This window comes from Homo sapiens, chromosome 18, assembly GCF_000001405.40.
Source record: "Homo sapiens chromosome 18, GRCh38.p14 Primary Assembly".
In the NCBI taxonomy this organism is placed as follows: domain Eukaryota; kingdom Metazoa; phylum Chordata; class Mammalia; order Primates; family Hominidae; genus Homo; species Homo sapiens.
In genome coordinates this window covers 30,989,005-31,004,117 of record NC_000018.10, presented here as the reverse complement: position 1 = coordinate 31,004,117, position 15,113 = coordinate 30,989,005, and the positions used below count along the sequence as shown (strand labels likewise).

General features: G+C 36.1%; 1 protein-coding gene across 2 annotated transcripts in view, besides 1 other annotated feature; it reads left to right on the top strand.

Moving 5' to 3' along the window:
* DSC3 (desmocollin 3) overlaps positions 1-14,753 on the top strand; it is a 53,378-nt gene extending 38,625 nt beyond the window's left edge. The window contains exons 14-17 of one of the 2 annotated variants that reach the window (NM_024423.4): positions 2,379-2,500; positions 7,070-7,327; positions 9,622-9,664; positions 9,746-14,753. In NM_024423.4, coding sequence (NP_077741.2) covers positions 2,379-2,500; positions 7,070-7,327; positions 9,622-9,648 — 407 coding nt within the window. In that variant the 3' untranslated portion in view covers positions 9,649-9,664; positions 9,746-14,753. The remainder of the gene's footprint in view (positions 1-2,378; positions 2,501-7,069; positions 7,328-9,621; positions 9,665-9,745) is intronic. The other variant, NM_001941.5, reaches the window with a different exon arrangement.
* Positions 6,358-6,932: an enhancer, noted in NCBI's record as "OCT4-NANOG hESC enhancer chr18:28577152-28577726 (GRCh37/hg19 assembly coordinates)". NCBI's record gives its function as "activates a minimal SCP1, AML or CMV promoter by ChIP-STARR-seq in naive H9 embryonic stem cells {active_cell/tissue: H9 hESC(naive)}" and the evidence as "EXISTENCE:reporter gene assay evidence [ECO:0000049][PMID:30033119]".

Here is a 15,113-nt window from a genome sequence, read left to right as displayed (position 1 = left end):
TTAAAATATATAATAAAAAATCTAGGTGTGGGAAAAGATGTTTAAAAAATAATCTCGTCCAAGCATCCATCAGATGTGAGTCTCTTTCCAAGTTCCTTTTGTATTATTACCTGAGTTGTGTTTGAATATTTTCTGTGACGGGAACATGATCCTTCTTGAGATAAAAGACTTTATGCTTAGACAGAATTGTTGAAAATTCCTTAGATTTCACAGAATCTGACAAACAAATAGTCTTTATTTCTTGGTTCCAGTGCTATTCCTTTTAGGGCTAAATAGAACAATCTAAAATTTCTGCCTTAGGAAACTCCACCAAAAGCCACTTTCATTCCATATCTTCTTACCGTCCAGCCACAGAGTTACGGGAGATGTTCTGTTCTCAGCAATGTCTCTTCTTGGGTATATCTTGCCAATTTTAAATTCTGTTAACCTCCTCCAGCCTAGATTAGCTTTGTTTTGTGATAAGAGTAGAAGTTAAGAGCAAAGAACTCAGGAATCAGACTGCCTGGGTTTGTACCCCAACTTCATTGCTTGTAAGCCATGTGACCTGGGGCAAATTACTTAACTGTGCTTCATTTCCTCACTGTAAAAGGAATAACTGTAGTAGCCTACCATATGGTGTAGCACTGAGGATTAAATGAGGTAATGCATGTGAAGTGCTTAGAACAGTACGTAGTAAATTTCTAATGTGTTCATTATTTTTCATCAAGTCAAAAAATAAACATATATCAAACACCTACTGTAGGCAGGAAACTGTTCTAGGTGCTTAGGAAAAATAGGGAAAGACAAACAAACAAACAAGCAAAAACAATCATTCTGCCTTGTGACAGTTAATGAATAAATTAAATGCTATGGAGGAAAAAAAAGAGAGGCAAATAATTAGGATCTGTAGTGCTGTGGAGTGTGTTGGTGAGGAGGGTATTGGTGCCAGTGATTGCAATTTTCAATAGAGAGTTAGGTCTGAGAAGATTATTTTTAATGATTTTTGGAAGAGGTGAAAGAGCCAGGCGGAACGCCTGGGGGAAGAACTTTCAGTCAGAGAGGGAAGTCAATGGAATGGCCCTAATTTGTGATTATGTCTGGAGAAACCAAGGAGTGGCAGGGAAACCAGTGTGGTGAGAGTGGACAAGGGGAAGAGGATTAGGAAATGGAGCCAGAAAGGTAGTGTGGGGCCATGTAGGGTAGGCAAGAGTTGGCACACTTTTTCTGTAAAGGATTAGATAGTATATATGTCAAGCTTTGCAGGCCATGTGTTTTCCATTGTATCCAATCAAATCTGTCCTTCAAACAGTAACACTGCTATAAAAATATGTGAATTATGGGCTTTACTGTGTTCCAATAGAACATTATATATGGACTGTAAAATTTGAATTTCATGTAATTTTCTTTTTTTTTTCTTTCTTTCTTTTTTTTTTTTTTTGAGGCAGAGTTTTGCTCTTGTTGCCCAGGCTGGAGGGCAATGGCAAGATCTTGGCTCACTGCAACCTCTGCCTCCCAGATTCAAGTGATTCTCCTGCCTCAGCCTCCTGAGTAGCTGGGATTACAGGCATGTGCCACTGTGCCCGGCTAATTTTGTATTTTTAGTAGAGACGGGGTTTCTCCATGTTGGTCAGTCTTGTCTCGAACTCCTGATCTCAGGTGATCCACCCGCCTCAGCCTCCCAAAGTGCTGGGATTACAGGCGTGAGCCACTGCACCCGGCTGTAATTTTCACATTATAAACTCTTATTCTTCTGAATTTTTTCAACCATTTTAAAATACAAAGTCTTAGCTCATAGGCCATACAAAAATATGTAGTGCTCTGGGTTTGGGGATTTTGCCAATGCACTATAGGGTCTTTTAGACTGGAAGAATTGTTGTTGTTCTTCTTAGTTTAATTATCATGTATTTTCAATCTCCCACAATTATGATTTAGAATAAGAATTCTTAATAGGCAAGATACAAAGTAGTTTCAATAAAGATAAATCTTTTCTAGGAAAGCAGTCTGTTTTTCTCATGTTTTTATGTACACAATTCTTTTTTTACATTTCATGTAGGAAAATTATTTTTAGGGGAATCAGTAAATTTTTTCAAAGTCTTTGTCTTAAATGTCAGTGATTTTTTTTCTTTATGTACTGCTTAACTCATAATTCTAAGTACTTTATTTTGATGGGCAGAATTCAATTAGTGAGATATAATGAAAAAATACAGATGATTGCTTCTGATTCTAAAACCTAAGCTATCTGGTGACATGTTAACTTAGAACAGCCAAGATAATTCATGGGAAACCATGCTTAGTGGATTTATTTTCCACTTTGATCCTTAGGTCGTAAGAAATAAATGATGATTATTTTATTCTATGTATGCTAAAGTAAGTTATTTTATTTTTATTTTTAAATTCAGCTGTATTGCTAACTTTAGTATGTGGAGTTTTTGGTGCAACTAAAGGGAAACGTTTTCCTGAAGATTTAGCACAGCAAAACTTAATTATATCAAACACAGAAGCACCTGGAGACGATAGAGTGGTAAGTAATTTTTAAATAAATATGTATTTGTATCTCCGATAATTTAATTCATCCTCATAAACTCATTTCAAAATTTAGGAGTTAATTTATATTTTTAATTGAATCAGATTTCATAGGCATAGATATTGTCTGTCAATATTCATATGTTTATATAGTGGTAATTTATTAAACTTCTTAATCCAGATGTATTATTTTAGTTATCTTTTTTCCACTCTAGTGTCATAGTTTAAACTTGTTCTTTGATGTTGAGTATTTATTATAACAATAGTTTTTTTTGCCTGCACTCTACAATGTATATTTCCAGATATAATTTGTTTATGTAACTTGTTGACCATTTATAATGGGGAAAAAAGCTTGCTAAAAGTTCTCAAGATAGCTAGGAAAATATCAATGAGATATATCTAAAAGAAAGGGAGAGGGGTTTGGAAGATTACTGCCACTCTCTTTCCTTATATATTTCTTAGGACTTCTGAGGTGCTTTTATGCTTCTTGTTTTGTGTAAAGTATATATATATATATATATATATACACACACACAAAGTATATATAAACACAAAGTATATATATACACACACATATACACAAAGTATATATATATACACACAAAGTATATATATATGTACACAAAATATATATATATACACAAAAGTACTTACAAGGCATGTTCTTACCTCAAAAAGATGCCAACTTATTTATGAGAAATAGATCCTACTTTATGGAAAAGCAAAATAGGAACATGACAATAAACCAATATGATAAAGCACTGTCAGAGTTCAAAAACACCTATGATACCTAAATGTACTCATGTAGTTTGGATCAACCAGAAAGGCTGGTGACAAGAGGTACAGCTTACTTGGTAACTTAAAGAATAAGAAGGGTTTGAAAGTGAAGAGACGGTGAGAATAGCTAAAGAAGAGGAAAACAGCATAGCCTACAAGACAGGAGATGATAAAGTTTAGGGGCTATTTAGCAAATAATAAATAAATTGATTTAGAATAGAAGAAATCATGTGTTGGAAAAGAGGCTTGAAACAAGTTCGGTGTTAGAGAAGAGAATATTAAGAAACAAGTGGGAGATAGGACTTCTAAATGCTGCACTAAGGATTTCGGATTTATTCTCATGGTAAAGGAGAGCCAGCCAAGGCTTTTCTACAGGAGAGAGGTATAATCAAGCAGCGTGAAGCTGAGTCAGTAGGGGGATCAGTGAGAATAGGAAGACATCAGGGTTGGGGAAGATGAAAGCTTAGTTTAAGCATGAGTTAATTCTACCAGGATGATGGTAATTGTTATATTAAGATAGGGATGAATAAGAAATATTTCAAAGGTATAAAGGATAAGCTTGTTGACTGACTGAACTTAAGGAACAAAGTAAAAAGCAGAGTCAAAGTGGCAGAGGCTATAGCCAGGGACAACGACTACATATCCAGCCTTTTCTATGTCTCGGGGTGAAGATGCCTTTCTTATTCACTATTTCTCTCTTCAACTCCTCCACACCACCATGCAAAATCATAGCCCATCTATGCTTGACGTGCCTACATGTAGAAACCTGTGATGATCTCTCCAGCGAGAAAGCAGGTTTAATCCCTTGACAGTCCTTGACTCATAGTAAGTTCTTATTTTATTTTTAAGACCGGCATGGATGACTTTTACTTAATATCTGTTCTTTGCCATTTAATGCTAGAGCTGATGATATTGAGTGGCCATTTCACAATATGTACCTGTTCTGTGTTAGGAACACTTCTAAAAGGGGCTTGGAATTATTAATTTATACAAAAACATAAAATTTCATCTTGAATCTATAAACTTGCTTTAATACAATGAGTAAAAGTGATCATTTTAGCTTTGGATCTGAATTTCACTTGAAGGCATGCACATGGGATTAGGAGTTGGGTGAATAATCAGGACTGGAAAAGTAAACCTAGAAATTATTGACATGGATAAAGAGTTGTTGATACCCTGTGAGAAGGAACTTTGGGAAATGTGGATGGAGGAGGACAGAAAGGAGCAGAGAATAAAAGTATGAAAGCTAGCCCTGTAGGCTCAGCATTGCTTTTAGTTTATTTTAAATTCCTCTTTTATTCACTTAGAAATATGATCTTTGAACTTGTGTTTATTACAACGAAATTATACCATCAAGAAGATTTAATAATTAGGAGGGTTTTTTTTTTTCCTTTTTTGTAATTGAATTTTATTGTAATGGCAACTTAAATAAAAAAATGTAGGGTAGCACTGCCACCAAATGGCTACTTTTCAATTCTTTTTTTCTGGTATTTTTTTCTAAGGCAATGCGACAGTAAGTATGACTTTTGTAGATATATTTCAGGTTCAATAAATCATCTGTATTTGAAAAATCTTTCAATTTAGTTAAAGACTGCATTTTAAGTAGAAAAAAATTTAAATTGATAGGAAGGTGGCACAAAGGAACCTGAATGTAATGGAGGTTCTTGTCCTGAAAGTAATGTAACTGTTTGTAATGAAAACTGACATGTCGAGGTTACCACTGTAACTAAACTTCTGTCCTATGGCTCAGAGGGTCGGAGTGAAGTTCCAGTATTAAGTTAATGTTTAATGAAGACTTTTTCATTTTAAAGCATTTCCTTGACTCTTTGTCATCCTCTAGTTCCCTCCACATCTCTCTTTTTCTTTCAAACTGAACTTTAGGAAAGAAAAAATTATATTTGATTTCTCTATAATACTCCTTCCTGCTTACCCAGCACTCCCTGGAAATTCTTTTGGCAAAGCTCATCAATGGCTATTCTTTCACTTAAATCCAATGGGCGCTTATACTTTAATTGAACCCATTCTTACCTTGCTGTGATTTTTCTGTTGTTGTTGTTAACATCATTGGCTGCTCCCACTCCTTACCATATTCTCTCTTCATGGCTTCAGGGTCCTGCCACTTTGGTTTTCTCTGTTATCTCAGTGGCTATTCAGATCTGGCCTGTCACAGCTGTGTTTCTCTTACCCTCCCCTTAAAATGTGATTTTTCTTGTGGTTCTATCCTTAGCCCTTTTTTATTTTGGTTGACAATTTTCTCTGGATAGGTCCTCTATTCCCATGGCCTCAACTATCACCTATTTGGGAGTGTCTCCCAGAATTATATCTCCAGCTCAAATCTCTCATCTGAGTTCCAAATCCGCATATTCATATATTCATCTTGGACATCCCACATGTTTCTAATGTTTACCATGTTCAAACTTTAGTTGCTCACTCTCCTCTTGCCCATAAGCACATCTTTCCTCCCTGTTTCAGTGAGTTGTACCATCTACCTGTTTGCCTTCATGGAACACAAAAGAATAATTTCTAACTCTGTCCTTGATTGCCTCATCCATCTAGATACTTGTAGGCTCTCTGTGGAGTCCATCTACTTCTTTCAGTCATCACTGCTTCCTCCTTGGCTTAGGTCCTTATCATTTTTACCTGGAATATCAGATCAGATCAGATGCAGTGACCCCCATCTGATCTCCATGAACTTAAATTTGTCTTCTTATTTGTCTTCCACATTATTGCCTAGAATGATATTTTTGAAATGTGTTTCTCTCTGTAATGAGTTAAAATTCTTCACAGTCCCTGTGATCTTCATAATAAAGTCTATTTTTTTAGCATAGCATATAGATCTTTATATCTTATGGCCTTTTATAACCTTTCTAACTCCCCCCAACCCTAATCTTATGTGGTAGCTGTTCTCAACTGATTGAAGTTGGGGACCCCTGAAGGACATTGTTTGCCTTTTGCCTCCAGACCCTTCTACAGTGGTTGCCTTGTTTGTCCCACTCCTACTAGTCCCTAGTCTCTTAGCTCAGAGTTTTTCCAGTTACCTGTTCTATTCCACCTACCCTGTTTGGATTTGAATTTTAATGCTCTACTTCTGTGCTCTTGTAACATTTTGTGCTCACCCACATAGTAGAGTAATCACATTCTCAAAGTATTTGTTTTTCTCTCTCCCTGGAATAAGATCTTCTTGGAGCCATCGAGAGACTATGTCTATCTTTATATCCCTAGGCTTTTGCATTTGCTATGGTGAAATTTGTCCCTAAAAGCTGATATGTTGGAAACTTAATCCCCAATGCAACAGTGTTGAGAGGTGAGACCTTTAGTAGGTGATTAGGTCATGAGGGCTCTGCTCTCATGAATGGATTACTGTCCTTATCATGAGAATGGGTTTATTATCATGAAAGCTTATTGTAAAAGCAAGTTCAGCCCCCTGTTGCTCCTCTCTCCCTCTCTCCCTCTCCCTCTCACTCGTGCTCTTTTGCCCTTCCACCTTCTGCCATGGGATGGGCCCTCGCCAAATGTGAACTCCTTGATCTTGGACTTCCCAGACTTCATAACTGTAAGAAATAAATCTCTGTTCTTTAAAAATTAACCAGTCTCAGGTATTCTGTTATAGCAGCACAAAATGAATGAAGACAGTATCTGGGCACATAATTAGAAACTGATAAATGTCTGTTGAATGAATGAATGAATGAATGAATAAAAGGTTGAACAAATATTCTCTCTCCTTTGCCTTCTCATGACAACTTAGAATCCATTTCCTCTCAACATGAATTATTTCATTTTATTATTTCAGTGCTCTGCCAATGGATTTATGACCCAAACTACCAACAACTCTAGCCAAGGTTTTTGTGGTACTATGGGATCAGGAATGAAAAATGGAGGGCAGGAAACCATTGAAATGATGAAAGGAGGAAACCAGACCTTGGAATCCTGCCGGGGGGCTGGGCATCATCATACCCTGGACTCCTGCAGGGGAGGACACACGGAGGTGGACAACTGCAGATACACTTACTCGGAGTGGCACAGTTTTACTCAACCCCGTCTCGGTGAAGTGAGTTTCCTTAGGTGTTTTGAGTCTAAAATTTAAACCTCCGAATGGAGAAAAATAGACAATTCAAATTAACATATATTTTCTGTATTTTTCTGTGGGCTCTCTCTTGCTTGCTCTGTTCATTTTCCCGTGCTCTTTGATTTTGTTACATTATTTAATTTAAAAGAGATTTTATTTCATTTTTCATATTTCATTTAATTTATAAAATCCCATAAATATAGGATGTTTTTAATATTCTTCACTAACGTCTCATTTTTAGTTGTGTATTTACCTCATGAACCCTTTTGATATAGAAGATCGTGAAAGTAATTCTAGTTCCTCACAATTACAAACTTTTCAAATGAAATCTGTATTTCTCTGTGAAAACACCAACATTTGTATGCAGTTTTAGGATAAAGATTAAATAGCATGATTTATATATATTTTTATCTTATTGCAAATTGACAAAATTTAATTGTATATGTTTATGGGGCACAAAGTGATATTATGATTTATGTCTGCAATGTAGAATGATTAAATCACACTTAACATATGCATCACCTCAAATACTTATTTTTTGTGGTGAGAACATTTGAAATGTACTTTCTTTGCAATTTTGAAATATAACATATACTATTATTAACTATAGTCACCATTGCAGGACATATTTTAAATATACAAAGCACCATGCGAATGTAAAGTGCTTTTATTTTAAGGAAAGCAAGAATATGAAAGAAAGAAGGAATTAAAATAAGGAATTCTCTGTTCATACCAAAATCACCTATGAAGCAGAAGCTTTTTTCTTTCTTTTCTTTTTTTTTTTTTTTTTTTTTTTTTTTTAAGGCAGGGTCTTGCTCTGTCGCTGAGGCTGGAGTTCAGTGGTGCAATCTCCACTCACTGCAGCCTTGACCTCCTGGGCTCAGGTGATCCTTCTATGTCAGCCTCCTGAGTAGCTTGGACTACAGGTATACACCACCACACCTGGATAAATTTTGTATTTTTTGTGGAGAAGGTGTTTTGCCATGTTGCCCAGGTTGGTCTCCAATTCCCAGGCTCAAGTGATCCACCCACCTTGGCCTCCCAAAGTGCCGGGATTATACGCATGAGCCACTTGGCTTGGCAAAATCCTCTATGAAGCTTTTAAAACATAACTAATGGCTGTGTTCTACTCTAAAAGATTCTAATTTAATGAATTTGGGGTTTTTTGTTTGTTTTGTTTTTGTTTTACATTTCCGAGATGATTCAAATGTGCAGCTAGGTAGAAAGCCACTGGATTAGACACTCTTCTGGACTAAATTTTTACCTCTTTTATCAGAGGATACCAGTGCCATTGCAGGACAAACAGTAGACCTTTAATCCTTGAATGGAATGCAAATGGGTGATACTCTGGTATAGGGCTGTAGGTTATGTATCCATAGCATTTTGGAGGGTCAAATTCAAGTGTTAATTCTTTTTCTACTTCTAGACAGTCAGTATTTATGTAATATCAGGTTGAGATGGAGTGAAGCTTAAGACATAGTCTTAGGAGGGTTCCTCAGTTGCACACCAGGTAATGGGAGGTAAGGCTAACAATGTCATGAAGAAAGAACGTAAGCCATGCCAATGAACTCCACATAGGCAAGGAGTGGGCACACAGGTGAGGAAAGGGAGGAGACATGGCAGTTGACGAGTTGGCAGACAGGCCAGTGGCAGAGAGGGTAGATGTGGCTGAATGCATGGCGTCTTCATTATAAAAGCCCAGTTTTTGCAATATGGGTCATGTTCATTCTTTTTAATTTCATTGAACTTTTCGATGCATGTATATATTTTGCCATGTTTGAGTATCTTGGAAACTTGCTTCTGAAGTTAATGTGGTAAATCCTACCTAGTTTATAACTGCATATAATAGTGATTCAAGTTAACATGTATTGTACCTTTAATATGTGCTGGGCATAATAAGTGTATTATGCGTCATTATTTTGTCATTAATTTCTAAAATAATCTTGTTAGGTGGTCACTGAGACTAAAGGATATTTGGTCACTTGCCCAAAGTCATATAGCTAGTTGGTAAAGCCAGAGCTTTGACTCACAACCAAGGCTGTTTGACATCCTATCTCAAACTCCTAACCAGTATGACTATTGTCTCTATTTTTTAGACTAGACTGACCTCTGTGTATAAAATTTAGGGATAAGCATTTAATGACAACTTGAATGTACTTAAATATAAAACTTGTATACATAATTTTTTATTTATATGGAGCACTAGAAATGTAAACTATACTGACTTTATGGTATGGTTGTGATATAGACCAATCATTTGCATTTTCTGTGTGTAGGAATCCATTAGAGGACACACTGGTTAAAAATTAAACATAAAAGGTAAATAAAAATAAATTTTATGTTCATATATTTAAGTTGTTTAAAACTATAATGCAATTCATTTTTTAAAAAATTTTACAGAAATTGCATCGATGTAATCAGAATGAAGACCGCATGCCATCCCAAGATTATGTCCTCACTTATAACTATGAGGGAAGAGGATCTCCAGCTGGTTCTGTGGGCTGCTGCAGTGAAAAGCAGGAAGAAGATGGCCTTGACTTTTTAAATAATTTGGAACCCAAATTTATTACATTAGCAGAAGCATGCACAAAGAGATAATGTCACAGTGCTACAATTAGGTCTTTGTCAGACATTCTGGAGGTTTCCAAAAATAATATTGTAAAGTTCAATTTCAACATGTATGTATATGATGATTTTTTTCTCAATTTTGAATTATGCTACTCACCAATTTATATTTTTAAAGCAAGTTGTTGCTTATCTTTTCCAAAAAGTGAAAAATGTTAAAACAGACAACTGGTAAATCTCAAACTCCAGCACTGGAATTAAGGTCTCTAAAGCATCTGCTCTTTTTTTTTTTTACGGATATTTTAGTAATAAATATGCTGGATAAATATTAGTCCAACAATAGCTAAGTTATGCTAATATCACATTATTATGTATTCACTTTAAGTGATAGTTTAAAAAATAAACAAGAAATATTGAGTATCACTATGTGAAGAAAGTTTTGGAAAAGAAACAATGAAGACTGAATTAAATTAAAAATGTTGCAGCTCATAAAGAATTGGGACTCACCCCTACTGCACTACCAAATTCATTTGACTTTGGAGGCAAAATGTGTTGAAGTGCCCTATGAAGTAGCAATTTTCTATAGGAATATAGTTGGAAATAAATGTGTGTGTGTATATTATTATTAATCAATGCAATATTTAAAATGAAATGAGAACAAAGAGGAAAATGGTAAAAACTTGAAATGAGGCTGGGGTATAGTTTGTCCTACAATAGAAAAAAGAGAGAGCTTCCTAGGCCTGGGCTCTTAAATGCTGCATTATAACTGAGTCTATGAGGAAATAGTTCCTGTCCAATTTGTGTAATTTGTTTAAAATTGTAAATAAATTAAACTTTTCTGGTTTCTGTGGGAAGGAAATAGGGAATCCAATGGAACAGTAGCTTTGCTTTGCAGTCTGTTTCAAGATTTCTGCATCCACAAGTTAGTAGCAAACTGGGGAATACTCGCTGCAGCTGGGGTTCCCTGCTTTTTGGTAGCAAGGGTCCAGAGATGAGGTGTTTTTTTCGGGGAGCTAATAACAAAAACATTTTAAAACTTACCTTTACTGAAGTTAAATCCTCTATTGCTGTTTCTATTCTCTCTTATAGTGACCAACATCTTTTTAATTTAGATCCAAATAACCATGTCCTCCTAGAGTTTAGAGGCTAGAGGGAGCTGAGGGGAGGATCTTACTGAAAGCACCCTGGGGAGATTGATTGTCCTTAAACCTAAGCCCCACAAACTTGACACCTGATCAGGTCTGGGAGCTACAAAATTTCATTTTTCTCCTCACTGCCCTTCTTCTGAGTGGCATTGGCCTGAATCAAGGAAAGCCAGGCCTTGTGGGCCCCCTTCTTTCGGCTTTCTGCTAAAGCAACACCTCCAGCAGAGATTCCCTTAAGTGACTCCAGGTTTTCCACCATCCTTCAGCGTGAATTAATTTTTAATCAGTTTGCTTTCTCCAGAGAAATTTTAAAATAATAGAAGAAATAGAAATTTTGAATGTATAAAAGAAAAAGATCAAGTTGTCATTTTAGAACAGAGGGAACTTTGGGAGAAAGCAGCCCAAGTAGGTTATTTGTACAGTCAGAGGGCAACAGGAAGATGCAGGCCTTCAAGGGCAAGGAGAGGCCACAAGGAATATGGGTGGGAGTAAAAGCAACATCGTCTGCTTCATACTTTTTCCTAGGCTTGGCACTGCCTTTTCCTTTCTCAGGCCAATGGCAACTGCCATTTGAGTCCGGTGAGGGATCAGCCAACCTCTTCTCTATGGCTCACCTTATTTGGAGTGAGAAATCAAGGAGACAGAGCTGACTGCATGATGAGTCTGAAGGCATTTGCAGGATGAGCCTGAACTGGTTGTGCAGAACAAACAAGGCATTCATGGGAATTGTTGTATTCCTTCTGCAGCCCTCCTTCTGGGCACTAAGAAGGTCTATGAATTAAATGCCTATCTAAAATTCTGATTTATTCCTACATTTTCTGTTTTCTAATTTGACCCTAAAATCTATGTGTTTTAGACTTAGACTTTTTATTGCCCCCCCCCCCCCCTTTTTTTTTTGAGACGGAGTCTCGCTCTGACGCACAGGCTGGAGTGCAGTGGCTCCGATCTCTGCTCACTGAAAGCTCCGCCTCCCGGGTTCACGCCATTCTCCTGCCTCAGCCTCCTGAGTAGCTGGGACTACAGGCGCCCACCACCACGCCCGGCTAATTTTTTGTATTTTTAATAGAGACGGGGTTTCACTGTGTTAGCCAGGATGGTCTCGATCTCCTGACCTCGTGATCCGCCTGCCTCGGCCTCCCAAAGTGCTGGGATTACAGGCATGACCCACCGCTCCCGGCCTTGTTTTCCGTTTAAAGTCGTCTTCTTTTAATGTAATCATTTTGAACATGTGTGAAAGTTGATCATACGAATTGGATCAATCTTGAAATACTCAACCAAAAGACAGTCGAGAAGCCAGGGGGAGAAAGAACTCAGGGCACAAAATATTGGTCTGAGAATGGAATTCTCTGTAAGCCTAGTTGCTGAAATTTCCTGCTGTATCCAGAAGCCAGTTTTATCTAACGGCTACTGAAACACCCACTGTGTTTTGCTCACTCCCTCACTCACCGATCAAAACCTGCTACCTCCCCAAGACTTTACTAGTGCCGATAAACTTTCTCAAAGAGCAACCAGTATCACTTCCCTGTTTATAAAACCTCTAACCATCTCTTTGTTCTTTGAACATGCTGAAAACCACCTGGTCTGCATGTATGCCCGAATTTGTAATTCTTTTCTCTCAAATGAAAATTTAATTTTAGGGATTCATTTCTATATTTTCACATATGTAGTATTATTATTTCCTTATATGTGTAAGGTGAAATTTATGGTATTTGAGTGTGCAAGAAAATATATTTTTAAAGCTTTCATTTTTCCCCCAGTGAATGATTTAGAATTTTTTATGTAAATATACAGAATGTTTTTTCTTACTTTTATAAGGAAGCAGCTGTCTAAAATGCAGTGGGGTTTGTTTTGCAATGTTTTAAACAGAGTTTTAGTATTGCTATTAAAAGAAGTTACTTTGCTTTTAAAGAAACTTGGCTGCTTAAAATAAGCAAAAATTGGATGCGTAAAGTAATATTTACAGATGTGGGGAGATGTAATAAAACAATATTAACTTGGTTTCTTGTTTTTGCTGTATTTAGAGATTAAATAATTCTAAGATGATCACTTTGCAAAATTATGCTTATGGCTGGCATGGAAATAGAAATAATTATGTCTTTGTTGTATTAATGGGGAATATTTTGGACAATGTTTCATTATCAAATTGTCGACATCATTAATATATATTGTAATGTTGGGAAGAGATCACTATTTTGAAGCACAGCTTTACAGATGAGTATCTATGATACATATGTATAATAAATTTTGATTGGGTATTAAAAGTATTAGAAGGTGGTTATAATTGCAGAGTATTCCATGAATAGTACACTGACACAGGGGTTTTACTTTGAGGACCAGTGTAGTCAAGGGAAAACATGAGTTAAAAAGAAAAGCAGGCGATATTGCAGTCTTGATTCTGCCACTTACAGGATAGATAACGCCTGAACTTTAATGACAAGATGATCCAACCATAAAGGTGCTCTGTGCTTCACAGTGAATCTTTTCCCCATGCAGGAGTGTGCTCCCCTACAAACGTTAAGACTGATCATTTCAAAAATCTATTAGCTATATCAAAAGCCTTACATTTTAATATAGGTTGAACCAAAATTTCAATTCCAGTAACTTCTATTGTAACCATTATTTTTGTGTATGTCTTCAAGAATGTTCATTGGATTTTTGTTTGTAATAGTAAAATACCGGATACATTTCACGTGTCCTTCAGTATTGATTTGGTTGAATATTGGGTCATAATGGTTGAGAAGCATGGACACTAGAGCCAGAATGCTTGGATATGAATCCTGGATCTGTCACTTACTTCTGTGTGACCTTTGAAAGGCTACTTATTTCCTCTCTTAGCTTTCTCATTAAAATCAATGAACAATGCCAGCCTCATGGGGTTGTTGAATGATTAAATGAGTTACTATACCTAAAGTACATAGAACACTGCCTGCACATAGTAAAAGAATTATAAGTGTGAGGTAGTTGGTAAAATTATGTAGTTGGATATACTACCGAACAATATCTCATCTCTTTTTAGGGAAATAAAGTTTGTGCATATATATAATCCCGAAACATGATTTCCAGACAATGGAATTGATAATTTATTCTTTCTGTGTTGATTTTTTCACAATGAACATTGATAACACTTATTTTATTTTAAGTTCCAGGATACACGTGCAGGATGTGCAGGTTTGTTACATAGGTAAACGTGTCCCATGGTGGTTTGCTGCACCTATCAACCTGATAACATTTTTAATTTAAGAAAAAGGTTAATACCAGCTTAGACAGTTTATTTTGGCTCTTATATTATTTAGAATTAGGCTTGGTTTCATGGGCAGAAAAATTAAATAGTATTCAGAACATGTTTACGGGCTTCTGTATTCGACAGTTTATTTTGATTGCAAAGGTTTGAATCTCAGAACCTTCTTTTCCCTTTACTTAAAAAATGGTAAAATTCATAAAACATGGCTATGAATGGTTAAAATTCATCATTTTCACCATTTTAAAGTGTATAATTCAGTGACTTTAGTACATTTAAAATGTTGTGAAACTGTTACCACTATCTAGTTCTGGAACATTTTCATCACCCCAAGAGGAAACCTTTTAAGCAGTCATTCTCCTCTTCCCCTCCCTGCATTATCCCCTGGCAACCACTGATATCTTTTCTGTCTCTATGGATTTGCCTACTCTGGACATTCATATAAATGAAATCGTACATATGTGGCCTTGTGTGTCTGGCTTCTTTCACTGAAATGAGGACTTTTCATGCATCCCTTTACTTGGGAATGAAATCCTAGAATATCTGAAAGGACTTGTTCAGGCTTTACTCAGAAACAAATATGATTATCAGTCTTCTATCAAATTCAAAATGAGTATTTTTAAAAGGAACATCAAATGAGATAAAGCAAAAATAGATCTGATAATAAGTATAACAGTATGTACAAATACTTGTTATCTGTGGAAGCATCATATCTTCTTGGCAAAAATTTACAGCTATAAAAATTGGCTAGCATAAATGGTCACAAAGAAAACTGACAATGCAAATACTATAAATGGTTTAATTTTATATAAGGGGCCAA